The sequence below is a fragment of the Homo sapiens genome, chromosome 6, assembly GCF_000001405.40.
Source record: "Homo sapiens chromosome 6, GRCh38.p14 Primary Assembly".
Lineage (NCBI taxonomy): Eukaryota > Metazoa > Chordata > Mammalia > Primates > Hominidae > Homo > Homo sapiens.
In genome coordinates, this window is record NC_000006.12 from 15,982,033 (window position 1) to 15,991,413 (window position 9,381).

Consider the following 9,381-nt stretch of genomic DNA (forward strand, 5'->3'; position numbering starts at 1 on the left):
CCAGGCTGGTCTTGAACTCCTGAGCTCAGTCGATCCACCTGCCTCGGCCTCCCAAAGTGCTAGGATTACAGGCGTGAACCACCGCGCCCAGCCAGTCTCTCTCCACTTCTTACAATAACACCAGTCCCATTGGATTAGGAGTCTACCCTGCTCCAGGATGGACCCAGCTAGTTACGTCTGCAATGACCCTGCTTCCAAATGAGGTCACGTTCTGAGGTACAGAGCATTAGGACTTCAACGCATCTTTTGTAGGGTGATATAGTTTGAGTATTTGTCACCTCCAAATCTCATGTTAACATGTGATCTGCATTGTTGAAGGTCAGCCCAGTGGGAGGCATTTGGGTGATGAAGGTAGATCCCTCATGAATGATTTGGTGCCGTTCTTGCAGCAATGCGTGAGTTCTCACTCTGTTAGTTCATGTGAGAGTGGGATGTTTAAAGGAGCACAGCTCCTCTCTCTCGCTCCCTCTTTCATCATGTGACATGCCTGCTTCTCCTTTACCTTGTGCCACAAGTGTAAGCTTCCTGAGGCCTCACCAGAAGCAAATGAGGCACCATGCTTCCTGTACAGTCTGCAGAACCGTTAGCCAAATAATACCTTTTCTTTATAAGTTACCCAGCCTCAGGTGTTTCTTTATAGCAACTCAAAATGGACTAATACAGGGGGATGCTAGTCAACCCATCACAGGAATAAATAGGATGATTACAGGACCTGAGGAGGAGGGTTTTGGCTGGGGAGGAGAGGGCAGTGAGATTTTGAAGACCAGTTAGCATCTACCTTAGAGACTGGTCTTCTGGATGCCCCCTCTTGCCCCTATGAACTTCTGTTTGACCTCTTGAAGAGTGTTTTTCAAGTGAAACTATGAATGATTTCCTCACAAATTTCTGTGAAACTTTGGGGTCATGAGTCAATGAATGAAGCATAAAAGCTGGGAGAAAGAGAGGAAGGGAGAAGGGAGAGAAGAGGAGAGAAGCAACTTTCAAGAAGCTAGGAGCGCTTGTTTGGAGGATACTCAAGAGTGTCACTAGTAGGACTCTGTGGCCACAGAGCAAGATGGAGACTTTAGGCAGACTCCAATCCCATATCACTTGAAGCCTCATAAGATCTGGCCCAGGAAATTGGGAAGAAGCTGGAAAGAGTACACAATTCAATTCATAAGAAGGAGAATATTTGAAAAAATTTCACTTTCACTTGGAGTAAGAGTAACAGACTTCTGCCACAATACTAGATGACATTTTCTGAAGCTGGGTCAACTTGAATCCAAAGGGAAAGAAGCAAAATCAGTCCTGACAGAACGATGCCTTATTATCAGGGTGTTCATCAAAAGAGCTTAGTAAGAAAATTATCCTGAACATCTGCAGATATGCGTCCTGGTCAAAAATTTCTAGTGGATAAAAAACATGAACTCACTTAAGGCATACAATAATAGTTTTTAGAAATATTAGAGGGTCTTTGTGGGAAGGTCCCATAATTGCTATGCAGAAATGAGCCTGTGAAAGACAACCTGTATGTCTCAGCCCCTGGGCACTGAGCTCCTCAAGCATCTCTGCTTTGCCTGCCATGGTATTTGGAGCATGATAGGTCCTTATTGCTTGTCAAATACATGAACTCTAACTTCAATAAAAATAAAGCAGAGTGTATGCAGAAAGGCAACAAAATAAGAAAAATTAGTTTACTAATTTTTTACTCAGCAGAAAATGCTATGCCTGGTGCTTCATCCACAAACATAGATAGTTATTGGATTATCTATGTGGATGAAGATAGATATTGGATAGATATTGGATTATCTATGTGGATATTGGATAATCCAATATCTATGTGGATATTGGATAATCCAGTATCTATGTGGATATTGGATAATCCAGTATCTATGTGGATATTGGATAATCCAGTATCTATGTGGATATTGGATAATCCAGTATCTATGTGGATATTGGATAATCCAGTATCTATGTGGATATTGGATAATCCAGTATCTATGTGGATATTGGATAATCCAGTATCTATGTGGATATTGGATAATCCAGTATCTATGTGGATATTGGATAATCCAGTATCTATGTGGATATTGGATAATCCAGTATCTATGTGGATATTGGATTATCCAGTATCTATGTGGATATTGGATAATCCAGTATCTATGTGGATATTGGATAATCCAGTATCTATGTGGATATTGGATAATCCAGTATCTATGTGGATATTGGATAATCCAGTATCTATGTGGATATTGGATTATCCAGTATCTATGTGGATATTGGATTATCCAGTATCTATGTGGATATTGGATAATCCAGTATCTATGTGGATATTGGATCCAATACGTGGATCCAATACGTGGATCCAATATGTGGATCCAATACGTGGATCCAATATGTGGATATTGGATCCACATAGATATTGGATCCAGTATGTGGATATTGGATCCACATAGATATTGGATATCCAATATCTATGTGGATATTGGATTATCTATGTGGATGAAGACTGGTGCTATTGACCTTACATTAATAATAATTATTGACCTTACATTAAGAATGTCATAAGAATGAATAGGAAGACAAATAGAACAAAATTAAAAGTCCACAAAGTGACACAAGAACACCTTTGCACAATAAAGATGATATCTCAAATAACTGGGGAAAGTTAGACTTCTTAACAAAATGTATTGGGACAACTAAAAAGTCATTTGGAAAAATATAAAATTGTATCCAAACTTCACATAATACCAAGAAAAACCCCAAATGGATTAGCAGTCTTGATGTACAATTGAACTTGTTCATTTTTCCAAGAAAACTTGGGTGAATTTCCAACCTAGCAGTTGGAAAGCCTTTCTGTGACTCAGTATTCAGAAGAAATAAATAAATAAATCAATATACCTGTCCAAGTATAAATAAAACCTTTTTTTGTGACAAAATAGACCACAAGCAGAGTCAAAAGAGAAATGAAAGACTGGGAGAAATTTTTGAACTTATATCAGTAAGGACTAAGCTCCCTAATGGTTGAAGCACTCTAAAAAAATCAAGAAGAACAACAAAACTAATTAAAAAATACGGGCAAAATGCATGAATAGAGAATTCACAGGATAAAAAAGGAAATGGCTTTTAAACATGAAAAAAATAATCAACCAGGCTTACAAGAGAGATTCAGACTAAAATATACTGAGATATTATTCACCTACAGATTGGTGAATACTCCAAGAGTTGAACAATGCGTTCTGCTGGCTGGACTTGGAGCCTCTGGCACTTCACGCATTGCAGGTGGGAGAGCAAAATGCTGCAACCTCTGTGGAGGGGAATTTAGCAACAATTACCAGAATTACATACATATTTATCCTTTGATGCAGCTTCTAGGAAGCCCCCTAAAATACATCTCTGCCAGTACAAAACAAGTTTGCTCGACTCCATTAATTGCAGAATTATTTGAAATAGCAAAGGATTGGAAATACAAATGCCTATCAGTGAGGCATAAGCAAATACTAAGGCACTAGTACACAATGGAGTCCTCAGCCACATGAAAAGAATGAGGAAGAGTTGGGTAAACAGAGTGTTCTCCAGGATACACCGCTAAGTGGAAAAAGGTGGGAAACAGTGATACGGTGTGCTGTATTTGCATATGAAAGCAGAGAAAATAAGCATGTAAATATGCACATATAAATATATTACTTATGCATGCATATATGAATATGTTTCTATGTATATGTTGTGGTTCTTTTGTAGAAAGAAACACTGGAAGAATAAACCAGAAACTGTAGTCACCTATAACAGATGTGGGAGATGTGGGGCTGAGGTAATAGGAACAAAAGTGAGACATCTCTGAGAAAACTTTTTTATATAGTTTTGATTTTGAACCACAAAAATGTACTATACCTTAAAAAAATAATGAAGCATAAAAGAAGAAGAAAATGACCATGCTAACTAGATCTTTAGACAACCATCAGAAATCAGGGAGATTTCTGAGTCAAACTTTTCTCCAAAAACTTATTACCACCACCCAACCCCTGTGGCACCCAGCAAATTCTGGAAAGATTGATAAAAATGGAGAATGAGAGCTAAGCCTGGGTGCCCAACGACAGGCTCACAGCCAGCTCTGGGGATCGCCTGAGAAGCAGGATGGTAAAGATTGCAGGCTCCAGAGACAGGCAGACTTGGGTTAAACTGGCCACTCACCTCCCTGAGAGGTGAGCTTAAGAAAGCAACTAGACCTCTCTGGGCCTGTTTCCTCCTCTGTAAAGGAGCACAGTAACACCTTCCATGCTAGGTACTATAAAGCTGAAATGAAATAGTACATAGTCTAGTACCTGGCCTGTGGAAAATTAGTCTCATCCAACCTTGTTGTAGAAGGACCTACCAATTCCAGGAACAAGAGGTGACCATGTCAGGTGACCTAGACTTCGGGAAGGAGAGGGGCTCAGGCAGGAAGCACACTTTTCTTTGTGGCGTATCTAGCTCTTTAGGTTCTCCTAGACTTGAGGGCAGTAGAAACAGAGAGGTCCCAGAGAGGGCATGGACGGGCATTTCCAAGGGGTGTGCTGTGCAGTGGGCCCCACAAACATTTGCCTAGGACCCAGAATTTAAACCACTGTCTGCTTCCTTTTCCTTTTCAGTATGGTTTCCCTTCTTCTCCAGAATTCTCTAGAAACTGCGGTGAAGGAATTTAAATTACTTTGTTTTCTTTTTATTTTTGTCAAAGAAAAATGATTCCATGAAGAAATGAGCTTTGAAAAATGCCTGCAGGAGATTGTTAAATATTTGAGCTCAGTGTGGCTGTTATTGGGGACCAGAACTGGAATTATTTTTTTCATTAATGTAATTTTGTCTCCGGAAGAAGCAGAGACACAGAGGCACCTCTGGGTTCCTGAGACTGTCAAAGATGTCTGCAATTGAAGTACAACAAGGAATGGGCGGGGACACGGCAGGAAGCAAGAGGTAGCCCTTGGGTCTGGGTTCCAAACTCACTTCCAATAGATACTGATCTGGGTGTGTGACACTTTATTTCTAAGTCTGACTGATTAAGGTGAAAAAATAACAAAACTATAATGTTTAGGTAAACCAGTCTTAAAATCATATTCATTCATTCATTCATTCTATTTGTTATATAAACATATATTGAGTACCTGTTACACCAGCATGCATTCTAGCTGGGGAAGGTAGAGCCCACGAGACCTGATTAAGATAGCTGCTGTGGTTGAGAGGAGAACTAAAACAAAAATCAGGATGGGTTCTTGGGTTTGGAAGGAATCTTAGAGGTCATCTCACATTACCCTTCATGTTGCAGATCAAGAAACTGGGACCCAGGGCAGTCCCACCCAAAACCATCCAGTTAATTAAGGGCAGAATCTCCTAACTCCAAGTCCAGCACAATCTTCATCACAAGCTGCTGGTTCAGAGAACAACTAGCAAGTGCATGAAAGAGAGAAAAAAGCCTAGAAAATATTTAGTTGGTAAAATATTTATTTATTTATTTATTTATTTGGTGAGTTGATGACTTAATTTTCCTCCTCAAAATTCTGGAAGAGAATTCCTGGAGGGCGGGTGCTGGGCAGGTAGGGAAAATGTATTTAATTAATCGTTTCATAATTCACTCACAATTATGGGCTTCTTGGGATAACATCCATTAAGATCCTGAAGGAAGGCTTCGCTGTGCTGATGGAGGATGAGTCACCTTACTATCTTACATACTGGTTTGCTCTTCAAAATATGTGCCTTTGAATAAAAGGGCCTCGCTATCGCGGCTGAACTTGGATTCACTTTGTCTCTATGGCAACCACAGCAAATCCCCACAAGTCACAGGAAAAGGGCACTTGACATCTTGAAGCACAACAGACAGACCCTTTATATCACAGCCATTCCTCTCACTGCTAGAAGGTAGAATAAAGGGAGAAGCCACCATCAAACACGCATTCCAGAGCTGCAGAATCAAAACCTTTCTGCACCCAGCCTGATTGTTTAAGCTGTTGCTGAGTTCAAGAGTCATTCATGAATATCGCTACTTAACAAGTGACAACTTCAACTTGCTCTCTGATAGTCTCCTCAACTACCCTGACCCCAAACACTTGCAGAGTTGGACCTAGTTATAATTTACATATATGAGAAATTGATTTGGCTGCATAAGACAGACGAGCTAAATGAACAGTGGCTGAAACCTACAAGGTTGTATTCCTTCACACAGAAAGTCGAGAGGAAGGCAGCCCAGTGCACCTATGGCTTTCAACAAAGCCTTTAAAAAAACAAGAATCCTTCCAGGAAACGACTCCACTCTCTTCCTCATGGTCCCAAAGCCATCACAGCCTCATTTCAGGTAGAGAGAAGGGAGGGATGATGAAGAAGGAGCAATGTGTGTATGCTCTCTTTTAAAGAGGTTTTACTGAAGTTGCCATACAGCTCATTGACGAGTACTTAAATTACTTTGTTATACATGGTTTCGGAAGAGGTAGAGAAATACAGTTTTTATTCCTGATAGTCTTGTGGTTCTTTAAAAAGCAGGGGTTCTATTGTAAGGATGGAAGGATGGAAGGGGTCATAGATACATAGATACTTAGGTAGCCCACAGTCCTAGTACCCTTGAAGACCTGAACTAACCCCTTGATGCCTCTTGGTTCAAACTATAGCTCAATTTTGGCTCCCAGCTCTAGTCCATAAGCCCATTGGTTGAAATGGTCTTGTTGTAATTATGGGCCAATGATCCTAAGGTTGCAATATTTGTGGAGGTGTTACCCCTTGGTGTAGAAGAAGTTATATAATGAAGTTATCAGGCAGAGGGATATGGAGGCCTCTATGGCCTGGCTTGGTGCTGGCTGGACCTTGTGGGGGGACATGTTCCCTGGAGGATGTGGGCTCCTGAGCTCAGCATTTTGAAGAGAAGCATGGTCAGGCTGGGGAATAACTGGACATAATATGAAGCAGAGAGATGTCATCTCCACCCTTGTGGACACAATGACTGCTAAAAGTCCAAGCTTGGGTGCAAGCTATGGGGTGGAGGGAGGCTGAGAAAGCTGGAGCCAGCACCTGGGGGCCTCAGCAGCCACAGAGCCTCAGGTGCATGAGAGGTTGGATTCAGGCATAGCGTTTTCTGCTGAGTTATTTATGGGAAAACCTCACTTGTCTCTTTCCAGGATTATAGAGGGTCATATTTTCAGGGAGCCTGGACTTATTGCTTCAATGAAGGAAGGCCATAACAGAACAATTTAGATTCAGAATATCACTTTTTCACTTCTGAGGTTCAAAAGAAACTTTCAAACTCCCAGAAGATATAATGAGTTGTCAGAAAGGGATTTTGTGTCTGAAGGCCTGGCTCTTGGGTATTAAAAGCAAATATTTCTGCCATAAGTGACAGATTTGGGGAAAATCCTTGATTATAAGGATGTAAGAGCCAATTTGTCTCAGCCCATAAGTTTTGAGTCTATCTGGGGACAGGAAGAAGAGTCAGGGAAGAGAACAACAGAGAAACACAGTGATGGGGATCTGTATTCTGCTGCCTCAGTCTCAGTCTGGAAGGAAAGGTGTCAGGGAAGCCCCAGACTGGTTGGGGATTTTGTGCTCTGAATTTCCCTTGGGGCTCTGAGTGGAACTAAGAACACCTAATGTCTCCTGCTCCACTGTGACATAGGCAAAGAAAGAAGAGATGACAGCATGGGAGATGGGTTTGAGGTGGTGTTACATGAACCCTATGCAAACCACCAATTGTGCTGATGGAGATCAGAATATGCCACCCGAAAATATGCCATGTTGGCATAAGGATTATTTCGAGTTGAAGGAAAATGGAAAATGGCAGATGCAGGAAAAGCTCTCTACCCTTCCCCTTTCTGCCTAAAAGCAGAGCATAAATTTCCCTCTGTCAAGGTGTTGCCACTCTCCTCTCCCATAAAGAAAGAGAACTCTTATCACAGGGGATGGTGCCAGCTCAAATCTGCATAAACAAACCTTACTGAAATAACCCGGATCTTCCATTTGTTTCCTCTCATATGTTTGCCTTCCCACAATTTGTCACCCTGAAGCCCTAGACCTCTCCCTTTGTCTTGTCACTTCTCCACAAATGTACTGCTCTTTGTTAAAATGGTCTATAAGCTCTGAGGCCTCACAGCTTCTTTGGGTTTTCACTTTCTTTTCTGTGAGAGTGCTATGAACACATAACAAAAATTAAAATACTAATGTCAAATTAAATATGTATGCTTTTTTTTCTGTTGATCTGTCTTTTGCCAGTTTAATTTGCAGGGCCCCAGTCACTGAACATAAGAGGGTAAAGGAAACAGGTTTCCCCTCCCCTATAGGAACAAGGGCAGCAGTTGTTTTCTCAAAGGTCCTAGAGATTGGTAAAAGCAAGAGGTTGAGTGACAGAGTGTGTGAGCACAGTGCAGCGGGGCAAAGGGACACATCACAGTCAGCAAATGTGGGTAGACTAGCACACGATGGCATTTACACAAGCCCACACTGCCTTGATTTTTCATCAACTTCTCAGAATTTAGATGGTACCCTGAGGAGTGGGAGGAACAATTTCTGAATGGACAGAATTTAAAGCTAAAAGGGCCAAGAATACTGAATTAATCAGATCGAGTCATTTCTGCCATCAGAAAACATACAGGCTCAAGACAAACACTCAATTCAGGACAAAACAAAGAATGCCCCATATTTGGTACTCCTGAGTTAAGAGCACGAGAAATTTGAATTTGCTACAGAATTGTATATCATCTAGCTTATTAAAAAACACTGGGCTTTACATCTATCTGAATGAAACAGTAAAAGGAAGATGCTATTATTTCTGACAGGGTCAAACACTATTCAATCAGGTATTATTCATATTTACAAATAAACAATTGCATAAAAACCTAATGAAACAAGGATCCTCTAAGGAGGAAATAGTTGACTTATCAAGGACTGCCCAAGAGGAGAGGTCCTTCACTGCTAGACCTTCACTATCTTCCAGCAAACCCTAAAATCTCAGGGGTTGTTCTCCAAGACAGGTTCTGCTCTGCTTCTTCTCTGCTCAGCAGCTCCCAGAAGCTCCCACAATTTTATTCTGCCTCGCCCTTCATGACATTCTCTGGGGAAGCTGGGTGCCATTGCTCTAGGATAATTACGCGCAAAGTACTGGATGGAGAGTCTTAGCAGTGGTGCTCTTGCATGTGTGTTTTATCACCTCCTCCCTTCATTGAATTTCATTCTTTAGCCATGAAAAAGAAGCTATCTGTGAATGCCTTCAGTGGACATGACCAGATGGTCTCCCCTGGGTCTGTTAGGTTCCTGTCTCTGGTCACTTCATTGGGAATGATTCCCTTCTGGCTGTCAAGTTTGGGCTCATTATATCACCTCTCTTAACTTCGACTTTCTCATGCATATAACTTGGATATTCACTTTCCACACAGAAATGTTTAGGAGTCAATA

At 41.2% G+C, this 9,381-nt stretch overlaps 1 annotated feature.

The window, feature by feature from the left end:
• Positions 5,546–5,840: a silencer, noted in NCBI's record as "tiled region #12955; HepG2 Repressive non-DNase unmatched - State 21:Repr". NCBI's record gives its function as "represses a minimal TATA promoter and a strong SV40 promoter by Sharpr-MPRA in HepG2 cells {active_cell/tissue: HepG2}" and the evidence as "EXISTENCE:reporter gene assay evidence [ECO:0000049][PMID:27701403]".